Source organism: Homo sapiens, chromosome 11 (assembly GCF_000001405.40).
Source record: "Homo sapiens chromosome 11, GRCh38.p14 Primary Assembly".
Classification (NCBI taxonomy): domain Eukaryota; kingdom Metazoa; phylum Chordata; class Mammalia; order Primates; family Hominidae; genus Homo; species Homo sapiens.
Genome location: NC_000011.10, coordinates 72,140,775 through 72,153,310, shown reverse-complemented (window position 1 = coordinate 72,153,310; position 12,536 = coordinate 72,140,775). Strand labels below are relative to the sequence as shown.

The 12,536-nt window shown below is 44.2% G+C and overlaps 2 annotated features.

Moving 5' to 3' along the window:
• Positions 6,420–6,620: a silencer, noted in NCBI's record as "peak1340 fragment used in MPRA reporter construct". NCBI's record gives its function as "represses an SCP1 promoter by STARR-seq MPRAs in K562 erythroleukemia cells {active_cell/tissue: K562}" and the evidence as "EXISTENCE:reporter gene assay evidence [ECO:0000049][PMID:32103011]".
• Positions 10,655–10,855: a silencer, noted in NCBI's record as "peak1339 fragment used in MPRA reporter construct". NCBI's record gives its function as "represses an SCP1 promoter by STARR-seq MPRAs in K562 erythroleukemia cells {active_cell/tissue: K562}" and the evidence as "EXISTENCE:reporter gene assay evidence [ECO:0000049][PMID:32103011]".

The following is a 12,536-nucleotide window of genomic DNA, read 5'->3' as shown; positions in this document are numbered from 1 at the left end:
AACAGCCTATGACTCCCTGGGAAAAACAGGAGGTGCCAGAGACACCATTTTGGAAAAAAAAAAAAAATACCACTCTGTTTTCCTCTTGAAACCCCAGGAGTTGAAAGTTGACAAATTCCTCTCAAAATGTAAGGCTCTGTTCTGTTTTGCATTGCAGTATCTGATGTTTTTGACTTTTGGTGGTATCAGAAATTACATCGTATTATGACAGAGCTTTGGTGTGTAGTAACTAGGTAGGAAATATACTTTAAGGAATGGCCAGTGGAAGTTATTGGTGAATACTTAACTCTTTGCATATTTAGATTAGAGAAGCATGCTCTTGGCCACTTCGAAGGTATGGAAATACCCGCTTATCTCCCACTGAGAGATAAGACTTCCACGGAAGATGGGCTGATTTCCCCTTTTTTGGTGGGGGGGATCCAGGATCTGGTATAAAATGGGACCCTTATTTTGGGGGATCTGTCTTGCCTTCCAGCTTGCCTGCTTATTAGGCTGTAGAAACTGCATGCTTTCCTGACCTTGTTCCCCCAAGGGCTCCACCCTAAAGTCAGTAATCCAATTAAGAAACTGGCAAATGATGGCCGGGCGCGGTGGCTCACACCTGTAATCCCAGCATTTTGGGAGGCCGAGGCAGGTGGATAACGAAGTCAGGAGATCGAGACCATCCTGGCTAACACAGTGAAACCCCGTCTCCACTAAAAGTACAAAAACTTAGCCAGGCGTGGTGGCAGAAGCCTGTAGTCCCAGCTGCTCAGGAGGCTGAGCCAGGAGAATGGCGTGAACCTGGGAGGCGGAGCTTGCAGTGAGCCGAGATCAAGCCACCTCACTCCAGCCTGGGCGACAGAGCAAGACTCCGATTCAAAAAAAAAGAAAGAAAAAGAAACTGGCAAATGAAAATTCTTACAACTACTGGATCTTCTGGTCTGTGTATTTATATATGTTGTGTGTGTGAGATATAAAAGAGCTTTGATTAATAGGTTAAAAAATAATAAGAGCTTAAATCAAATATTTTATTAGAAAAATAAAAACTGTGATGCCTTTTAGTTTATATGCCTTTAGTAATCTTTGGGAAATAACATCAGTTTTACATGCAAGGTGTGTAAGGAAAGTGAAATGTGTTTTTGGTAAAAGATTATAAGAAGTCATGGGAATGTGGATTTTTCTGCCTAGATTAAAGGGTTAAAGGATTGTTTTAGATGAGATAAAGCTGAAGGCTTGAACAAATTGTGGGAGGTTTGTGAAAAATTAATGTCATAAAAGAAATTCTGTGTGAACATGTTGGCTAAAGTTAAAGGGGTATTCATTTTTTCTATAAATCAAACATTGGAATAAAAGCACAACAGGTTTTTCTTAGAGCATTAATCTGCTCGTTCACAAAAATTGTAAAGGGTTATAAAAGGTTTAGGATCCACTTTTCTGGGGAGGTGAGGAAACAAAAGTTTATAAGAATCTTACTTTATGGTCAAACTGATTAAGATTAAATAAATTTGTCTAAAAGGTTTTATTAAAGAATTGGGTTTAACATTAATAGTACACTAACGTAAAGGTGAAATTTGGCTTATTCAGTATAAAATCCATAAAGGAAGCATCGTCAAATGTGAAATAGTATTTGGCTTTCTTTGGCCTATATTTGCATAAATATGTTATTGGACATGTTCCAAAATTATGGAAAACACCCATAATTCCTTGATAACTTAGTGTATGTTATTAATAGTCATAATTGTTATGTAAAATTGTTGTCACAGAACTAACCAAAATTTCCTTTTCTTTTCTTTTTTATTTTTTGAGACAGAGTCTCACTCTGTCACCCAGGCTGTAGTACAGTGGCACAATTTCAGCTCACTGAAAACTCCACCTCCCAGGTTCAAGCGATTCTCCTGCCTCAGACTCTCAGTAGCTGGGATTGCAGGCACCCACCACCATCCCCAGCTAATTTTTGTATTTTTAGTAGAGACGGATTTTCACCATGTTGGCCAGGTTGGTATCAAATCCCTGACCTCAGGTGATCTGCCTGCCTCGGCCTCCCAAAGTGCTGGGATTACAGGCGTGAGCCACCGTGCCCACCCCCACATTTCCTTTTCAATTGTGGCTTAAATAGTGGCTGTCCTAAGACTTCTGTCAACCACAGACAATTGTTTTCTTATTTTGATCCTCTTCAAAAGGTGGTTTATAATCAACTATAGGATTTTGACAGGTTCTCTTGAATGCAGGTTTCTGATAAGTTTGGAGATTGTGACGTCAGAATAGAGGAAAAACTTTCAGGACTCATGGACAGCTGAAATGTTCATGACGATTAAACAGGACAGGAGTTAACTGCATGGAATGAACAAATAGAAGACTGAAGAAATGTTTTTGACTTTGCTTAAAATGCTGCTGAAACTTTGTTTTGTTTTCAGAGTCAGGAAAAATTTTGAGCTATTTACACCTTTTAACAATTCAGTAGGCCGGGCGCGGTGGCTCACGCCTGTAATCCCAGCACTTTGGGAGGCCGAGGCGGGTGGATCATGAGGTCAGGAGATCGAGACCATCCTGGCTAACAAGGTGAAACCCCGTCTCTACTAAAAATACAAAAAATTAGCCGGGAGCGGTGGCGGGCGCCTGTAGTCCCAGCTACTCGGGAGGCTGAGGCAGGAGAATGGCGTGAACCCGGGAAGCGGAGCTTGCAGTGAGCCGAGATTGCGCCACTGCAGTCCGCAGTCCGGCCTGGGCGACAGAGCGAGACTCCGTCTCAAAAAAAAAAAAAAAAACAATTCAGTAAAGTATACTTCTGGCAACATATTTGGAGCATATTTGTTTTTTTCTACCTGATTTTTCCAGAATTAGGAAACTAGGTGTGAGTATTCTTAACTTATAGCAATATAGTTATTTGCATAAGTGCAATAAGAATCTGTTTCTTGGCCGGGCGCAGTGGCTCACGCCTGTAATCCCAACACTTTGGGAGGCTGAGGTGGGTGGATCACCTGAGGACAGGAGTTCAAGACCAGCCTGGCCAACATGGCAAAACCCTGTCTCTACTAAAAATAAATAAATAAAAATTAGCTGGGTGTGGTGGTGTGTGCCTGTAATCTCAGCTACTCAGGAGGCTGAGGCAGGAGAATCACTTGAACCCGGGAGGCAGAGGTTGCAGTGAGCCGAGATCGTGCCATTGCACTCCAGCCTGGGTGACAAGAGCAAAACTGCATCTCAAAAAAAAAGTAAGTAAATAAATAATCTAAATAATCTGTCTCTTTTTTCTTTCTTTCTTTTTTTTTTTTTTTTTTTTTTTTGAGGCAGAGTCTAACTCTGTCACCCAGGCTGGAATGCAGTGGTGTGATCTCAGCTCACTGTAACCTCTATCTCCTGGATTCAAGTGATTCTCCTGCCTGAGTCTCCCAAATAGCTGGGACTCCCAAGTACCTTTGGCCCTAATAAGCAGGCACAGCTGGAAGGCAAAACAGATCCCCCAAAATGAAGATCCCATTTTATACCAGACCCTGGATCCCTCCCCAAAAAAGGGGGAATCAGCCCATCTTCTGTGGAAGTCTTATCTCTCAGTGGGAGATAAGAAGATATTTCCAGCCAGTCACGGTGGCTCACACCTATAATCCCAGCACTTTGGGAGGCCGAGGCAGGCAGATCACCTGAGGTCAGGAGTTCAAAACCAGCCTGGCCAACATGGTGAAACCCCGTCTCTACTAAAAATACAAAAATTAGCTGGGCATGGTGCCAGGTGCCTGTAATCCCAGCTACTTGGGAGGCTGAGGCAGGAGAATCCTTTGAACCCAGGAGGCAGAGATTGCAGTGAGCTGAGATTTTGCCACTGCACTCCAGCCGGGGTGACAGAGTGAGACTCTGTCTCAAAAAAAAAAAAAAAAAAAAAAAAGGTATTTCCATACCTTCCAGGTGGCCAAGAGCATGCTTCTCTAATCCAAACATGCAAAGAGCTACGTGATCATCTATAATTTCCATTAGCCATTCCTTAAAGTATATTTCCTACCTAGTTATTACACACCAAAACTCTCTCATAATGCGATATAATTTCTGATAGACCAAAAGTCAAAAACTTCAGATACTGCAATCCAAAACAGAACAAAGCCTTAAATTTTGAGAGGAATTTATCAGCTTTCAATTCCTGGGGTTCCAAGAGGAAAACAGGGTTTTTTTCCAAAATGGTGTCTCTGGCGCCTCCTGTTTTCCCCAAGGAGTCCCAGGCTGTTAGAGCTTGAATATCTAATTTTAATTAAGCTGACTTTAAACCATGGTGCTCTACAAAAAAAATTCTTTAAAATCTCTTATTACCCAATTACACAACACAAGCAGCTAATTTTTGTATTTTTAGTAGAGACGGGGTTTCACCGTGTTGGCCAGGTTGGTCTCAATCTCCTGACCTCAAGTGATCTGCCCACCTCAGCCTCCCAAAGTACTGAGATTACAGGCATGACCACTGTGCCCAGCCAGAATCTGTTTTCTTTTGTAACAGGACACAATTGGAGAAACCAGTTATTTTACCAAGGCTTTGACTGGAATGGTGTGCTTTCCTTTAAGGAATCAAACTTGACTTATAGAGCTGATAAGAGCCCCTTGGGAAAACTAACTTCATACCTTTTCTACACAGATCCTGAGCAGGGTTTCTGACCTGTGGCAAGTAAAGAATGTCACTCTCTGACAGACCCAGGAGCCCCAAATCATCTTGGGTTCTCAAGAGGAATTCACCCAACTCATAGGTATTTGATGGTACAACCGCATGGCCAAACTCGGCTTTAAAAAAAAAGTTTTGTTTTGTTTTGTTTTGTTTTTTTGAGACAGAGTCTCGCTCTGTCGCCCAGGCTGGAGTGCAATGGTGTGATCTTGGCTCACTGCAACCTTTGCCTCTAAGGTTCAAGTGATTCTCCTGCCTCAGCCTCCCAAGTAGCTGGGATTACAGGCACCTGCCACCATGCCTGGCTAGTTTTTGGTGTTTTTTAGTAGAGACGGGGTTTTACCATGTTGGCCAGGCTGGTCTTGAACTCCTGATGTGATCTTCCCTCCTCAGCCTCCCAAAGTGCTGGGATTACAGGAGTGAGCCCCTGAGCCCGGCCTTAAAAGAAAAAGTCTAATCTGAGATTCTTCTACAAAACAAAGTTCCATCAAAGCCAACTTAAAAAGCCTATGTGAAAAGTAAGTATTCTTGCTGCACGTTACACAAATAATCAGGCCAAGTATAATAAAGCAAATCAGTCTTACCATGATTTGTCTTTAGTAAAAATGTGAAACCAAAAAGAGAAAAATTATGTTTCAGCTGGACGCGGTGGCTCACACCTGTAATCCCAGCACTTTGGGAGGCCGAGGTGGGCAGATCACGAGGTCAGGAGACCAAGACCATCCTGGCTAACACGGTGAAACCCCTTCTCTACTAAAAATACAAAATAATTAGCCGGGCGTGGTGGCAGGCGCCTGTAGTCCCAGCTACTCGGGAGGCTGAGGCAGGAGAATGGCGTGAACCCGGGAGGGAGAGCTTGCAGTGAGCTGAGATCGCGCCACTGCACTCCAGCCTGGGTGACAGAGCGAGACTCCGTCTCAAATAATAATAATAATAATGATAATAATTAAAAGATGGATTTGGACAAAATGCAGAAATAGCCAGCTAGAAGCTTGTCCAACCTATAGCCCTCAGGCCTCATGTGGCCAGGACAGCTTTGAATGTGCCCCAAAACAAATTCACAGACTTTCTTAAACTTTCTTATTCTTCCAATGTGACCCAGGGAAGCCAAAAAATTGGACACCCTTAAGCCAGGAGTTTACCATGGGTTCACAATTCCTTATTCAAAATCTTTGGAGTCACATGTTTCAGATTTAAATTCTTTTAGGATTTCATAAAAGGTGATACAGAGATAATACGATTTGCAAAGAGACCAACTCCCAGGAGATCCCAGCTTGTATCCTGCAATAGTGAGCTGTACCTGAATCTTGGACAACCTGGGAAGTATCAACTTAAAATCACCAGATGTATACACTTGGAAAGAACACTTTTACTAATATTGTGTTGTAACCTGCAGGCTGGGAAGTGGAGCCTCTGGCTGAGATGGAAAGCAGGCACTTTGAGGGAGGAGAGGTGGGACAGGAGTTTTATGCTAAATAGGTTAGCTAGTATACTTATTAATAAGTTATAGGAGGAGCTATGAATATTCATGAAAGGGAGTCACATGCATGTATACTAAGCAAACATACATGTTACATACATCCTGTGTTCACTTTGGGGTGGAGAGTTAACAGTAATTATTTTTATATTTGTATTTTGTTTTTAATTAAAAAAATAGAGACAAGGTCTCACCATGTTGCCTAGGCTGGTCTTGAACTCCTAGGCTCAAGCAATCCTCTTGCCTTGGCCTCCCAAAGTGCTAGGATTGCAGGCATTGAGCCACCATACCCAGCTGAGACTTAACATTAAAATGCAGACTTAGGCCATACACATCAAAAGGTGAAACATAGGACACAAAGGCACTTTGTGTGCAGCCTCTGTAAACCAGCCAGAACCAGCCCATGGTTAACAGGAACTGATCAGGAAGGATAGCTTTGTGAGCTGGTCAGCTGTCGTGTCAAATCACAAAAAGAGAGTGAAGTCTGGCCATGGCATCAGGCAGTTGAAGCTGAAGTCAGCGGAGGAGTCTTCCATTCTCTGTTTTCCAGGACAGGATTCTGCTTAACTCTTAGGAAAAAAGCCTGGTAACAGTAAGGAAGAGGGTATACTGAGGTGTGACCAGCCTCCTGTCTTATCATAGCCAGGAAACCTAGATTTTAAAGTTTTTCTGGGGTCTCCTTGGCCAAGAGGGGTTTGTTCAGTCAGTTGAGGGGTCTTTGGATTTTCTTTTTATTCCACATTTCTTCCTTTTAGCCAAGATCTGCCACAGTCAGCATCAATGGCCAAATTGTTTGTACCATGTCGTTGCCAGGATGCTGAGGCTACCTGCTCCAGATCCATCCAGTCCCTTGGTGGGACCCTTGTGGCCAAGAGACTTACAGCCAATTGAACATCTTGGCCAGACAGAAATAGAGGTGGGCAGGTACTCATCAACCCCTAAGGTCTATCAAGCAATATAAAGGCCAAAAGGTAGGGCTACCAATTTAACTTGTCTATAAGTTCTATGCATTGAGCCAGCATAATTCTGGTTTTAGCAGCAGACTTACAGCAGTTGGTTATACATATTATAAGTTATTTATTTATTTATATTTACTTTTTAGATAGAGTATCCCTCTGTTGCCGAGGCTGGAGTGCAGTGGTGTGATCTCGGCTCACTGCAACCTCCGCCTCCCAGGTTCAAGCAATTCTCCTGCCTCAGCCTCCCGAGTAGCTAGGATTACAGGCACATGCCACCATGCCCGGCTAATTTTTGTATTTTTAGTAAAGACAGTGTTTCGCCATGTTGGCCAAGCTGGTCTTGAACTCCTGACCTCAAATGATCTGCCCACCTCCCAAAGTGCTGGGATTACAGGCTTGAGCCCCCATGCCTGTCCCATATTATAAGTAATTTAAATGTTATGAAGAAAAGTTTGATGGAGACTATAATTATAACAAAAACTTCAATAGCACCTTTTTTTTTTTTTTTTTTTTTTGAGATGGAGTCTCACTCTCACCCAGGCTGGAGTGCAGTGGCGTGATCTCGGTTCACTGCAATCTCCGCCTAGCAGGTTCAAGCGATTCTCCTGCCTCAGCCTCCCAAGTAGCTGGGATTACAGGTGTCGCCACCACACCCAGCTAATTTTTTGTATTTTTCAGTAGAGACGGGGTTTCACCATGTTGGCCAAGCTGGTCACAAACTCCTGACCTCAGATGATCCACCCGCCTCAGCCTCCCAGAGTGTTGGGATTACAGGCATGAGCCGCCACGCCCAGCCTTCAATAGCATCTTGAAAGGAATTTCTGTTTGGTAGAAAGCCAACTGAACAGATCATTGATAGGATCAGTAGTTTTATTTCTTGTAATCATTTAGCTTGTTTGGAAATTCTTTCTGTATGAGTTTTTCTTCTTTTTTTTTTTTTGAGACAGAGTCTTGCTTTATCAGTTTGGAATGCAATTGCGTGATCTAGGCTAACTGCAACCTATGCCTCCCAGGCCCAAGTGATCCTCTTGCCTCAGCCTCCCAAATAGCTGGGATTACAGGCATGTGCCACCATGCCTGGTTAATTTTTGCAGTTTTTGTAGAGATAGGGTTTCACCATGTTGCTCAGGCTGGTCTCAAACTCCTGAGCTCAAGCAATCCTCCCTCCCCAGCCTCCCAAAGTGCTGGGATTATAGGTGTGAGCCACTGTGCCCAACCCTATATGAGTTTCTACTTCACCTGAAGTGTTGATGTAAGTGCAACAGGTGTTATGGGCCACTGCACAGACTCTTCCTTGTTTGGGTAAAAGAAAATCTGAAGCAATTAAATTATCTATTACTACTTGAGCCAGGGAATTCAATTTGTTGGGCTATAAGGCTTTTTGCAGTGTCTTCAGCTACCTGTCCAATAGTGGCAGATAGGTTTGAATATGCTGGTCAAGTTTTGAATTAGACTCCTTCAGTTTTGAATTAGTCTCATTTAAGGAGGTTATCTGAGACTCCCAACTGTGTTTAGAGCTCTCATAATAACACTGAAAAATGGTCTCCCGTGGGAGGATTCCTTGAGTCCAGGAATTTGAGACCAGCATGGTCTATAAAAAATTAAAAATTGAAAATAAAGAAATTAGTGGGGTGTGGTGGTGCATGCCTATAATCCCAGCTACTTGAGAGGCAGAGGTGGGAGGATGATTGAGCCTGGGAGGTCGAGGCTGCAGTGAGCCATGTTCGTGCCACTCCACTCCACTCCCCATGACAGAGTGAGACTCTGTCTCAAAAAAAAAAAAAAAAAAAAGACCTCCCATTGCTTCTGAGAGGTCCTGAACCCTATTGTGCATGCAAATAAACTAATTTAGGCATGTCAGACATTCTGCCAAAAGTTCTCCATTTTGGCCTATAAATCTTTATATTGTTCCAGGTTAGCTTTTTTCCAGGATCCAAAATATTCACAAGACTTTTTCTCATAATTCTGAAACATGCATGTTCCTGATGGCAGCTGGTCTGGGACTGTCTCCTTAGAATCTAGATTCCCCAGAAAAGCATAAGACATTCCTTCGTGTGCCACTAGAGGGCAAGCATCCTCACCAAACCTGATGGGCTGATGCGCCGGATGAGTCAGGCTTAACTGCCCCCAACCTCCCCATCTAGAAACCTGGGACCAACAAAGATGGCACTTGCAGGGTCCGGATGGAGGGGATCAGGGTAAAAAAATGAAGTCCTCGAGATCTCAATTCAAAAGTGAGAGATCTTAGATCGGGGAGAGCTTACCCACCTTCCTCCCAAAGCTGTCAGGGAGACAAATGAGCTGTCAATGGCTCCACCTGGCACCTGTGCATTCACTTAGGCTGGGGGAACCTGGGCTGCTCCATGGATCCTACTCTTGTCTTCAATTATATTGGCTTAAAATCATAAGATCTTTACATTTGGAAAAGAGAGCTTTATTTCTTTTGATGGGTTGCAACCTACAAGCTAGGAATTGAAGGGACAGGGGTTTTACACTAAATCAGTTGGCTAAACATATATATTTAATAAGTTTTAAGAGGATTTATGAATATTCATGAGAGTTGCACACATGTGTACCAATAAAACATGTTAAATATGTCCCATATTCACTTCGGGGTGGAGACATTAAAATGCAGTTGAATTAGGCTCTGTATGTCAAAATGTGAAACACAGGACCCAAAGCACTTTGTGTGCTGCCTCTGTAAACCAGCCAGAACTGGTCCATGGTTGAGAGTCATTGATCAGCCAGGAATGTTTTGTAAGCTGATCAGCTGTCATGTCAAAATCAGGAAAGGGAAGGGAGTCTCGGAATTGGTTGAAATTGAAATCAGTGAAGGAGTCTCCTGTTCTTGGTTTTCAGGGCTGGTTTCTGTTTAGCTCTTGGGAAAGAAGCCTGGTAACGGTTCGTGAGGAAGCAGGTGTGCTGAGGTGTGAGTGACCTATCATCACGGCCAGGAAACTTGGATTTTAAAGTTTTTCCGGGGTCTCTTTGGCCAAGAGGTGTCCATTCAGTTGTTTGGAGGGTTGAGGATTTTATTTGTATTTCCCAGAGGGTTGAGTCCTCTTAAGACCTCAGCAGGTAGAGGCCTCTGGAAACCTCAGGCCTCTTTCCTTCTTTATACCCCAGTGCTGATGGGAGAAGGGCAGGCAGGTGTCTAGGAACGCCTGAACACAGGAGCTCCTCTAGATGGAACTCCTGCCCTGTCATCCGCTGCCCCTGGCTTGGGGGCTGATCATGAACTGAACTTTATGGCCCCTCCACTGCAGGAGTGAGACCTGCTACCTGAGGCAGGCCCCTGGGCCATGAGGGCTTCAGAATAATACCAGCAAATGGAAGGTTGGGTTGGAGGTCAAGTTCAGTTCCTCTGGTAAGTCCTCACCACTTGTGGAGTCTCAGAGCCCTGCTCTGAAGGGTGAGGTGGTGTGCCTATCTGGAGTCTGGGTGCTAGGGCCAGCAGGGAGGGACAGTCAGGCAGTCAGCTTGAACCAGTCCAGAGAGTATCTGCCTGAGCTGGAAGCTTAATACCACAAGGTTAACCATTGGCATTCCTTCTAACCCCAACCCGAAGGCTACCCTAGGACCAGGCAGATAACAGGAAGGTGTTTGGCTCACAGAGGTGGAGACTCTGGGCTTCAGGAAGCAGGAGAGGGGCCTCAGAGTGGGGAGGAGAGAACCCTGAGGTCTTCCCTGAGTGCCAGCCTATCACACATGCAATCTCACCTCACTCATCTTCCCAGCTGCAGAAACTACTGATCTCAGTCCGATTCTAAGCCTGCCTTCTTATACCTAGCAGTTGCAGGAGAGAAGCTCTGTGAGGGGCCCACAGGGCACCGTCCTAAGGAATGCAGATCCAGTGTTTCTTCTTTGGCCTTAACTGCTGCCCATTCCCCACACAACCTCTCTTAGCCACCCTGGAATTCTGCTTGCACTTCTATTACCTCTAAGCCTTTGCACTTGCTGAGACCTGTCCATGGAATGCCATTCCCTGTGCTGTTTTGTGCTTGGCAAACATTACTCCTTTGGAATCCTTCCCTGACCTCTTTGGGCTTCAGCAGAATAATACCACACTCTGTGCTTCCCTCTGTGAAAGCCTCATCTCCTTGTTCTAAGAGTCACTGGTTCTCAGAACTGTCTGTCCCCACCAGACCTTGCAAGGAACTCAATTCCCTTTCTGTTGGCTGAGACCAGCATGGGCCAGTGGACTGGATGCTCAGAAGGAATTGTTGACTGACAGAATGGATGCAGCGATTCCTTAACTTACTGAGCACATTCTCGGTGCCAGGCACTGACCCAGACCCTGGGGATGTAGCATAAAATGACACAGACACAACCCTGCTTTCGGGAGAGTATGTTTTGTTAGGGAAAAGGCTGACAACAAACACAGTAGATAAAAATCTGCACAAGGACATAGAGTAGTGTGATGAGAAATCAGCTGGGTGGGTTTGTCAGTTTGAGTGGTCAGAAGTCATTTTAGGGGGGGATTGTAGGTTGTGATCTAAGTGGCCACAAAGTGCTAGGCTGCAGAGGATTAATGAAGAACATTTCAGGCATGCAGAGAAAGAGTTGCTGGAGCAAAGACCCCCAACATGAGAAATGTGACTGGAGCTCATTTATGGGGTGGTGTGGGAGAGATTTGGCTTGAGGGCTCAAAGGAGGGGCATGGTCTTCTGTGCTATTGTGAAGAAGTTTGGTTTTTACAGTTGATACCACTGAAAAGTATTGAAGGGTTGGTGAAAGAGCTGTAACATAGTAAGACATGTTTAAGGTCCATCAGCTACTAGAACATATAGGTGGAAGTGTGCTGATGAATAGAGTATCTCTAGTTCTCCAGTCTCTCTCTACAACATATTTGCTAGTTACAAAGGGGAAAGTGTAGTGGAGAAACCTGGCAGACACAATCTCAAGAAAAAGATCAAAGTTAACGTCACCAGGAATGAGCAAACCCCACACCACATGCCTCCCATTATGATGCACGGGATAACCATGTAGGGTATTTGTGCCCAAAACGCATAACCTCAATGAATCATGAGGAAACAGACAAACCCAAATGGAGGAGTATTCTACTAAATAACTGGCCTGTGGCTTTCAGCAATGTCAGGATCATAAAAGAACCCCATTCCTTCCAATGCCCATCAGTAGGAGACTGAATTCAATGTAATGTACACCTAGAATGGATTACTACCTGGTAATTTAACATATCAATAGGTCAATATGGAAAGATCTCAGAACAATGGCAGATGAAAACTGCACTGAGCTGCCCTTTCCCCACCTGTAAGATGAGCAGAAAACCAAAGTTTAATGGCATAGTGGGTTGACAAGGTTGTGGAGAAACAGGCACTCTCTCTCTCTCTCTTTTTTTTTTTTTTTTTTTGAGACAATGTCTTGCCCTGTTGCCCAGGCTGGAGTGCAGTGGCATGATCATAGCTTACTGTAACCGCAGCCTGCTGGGAGTCAAGCGATTCTCTCACCTCAGCCTCCCTAG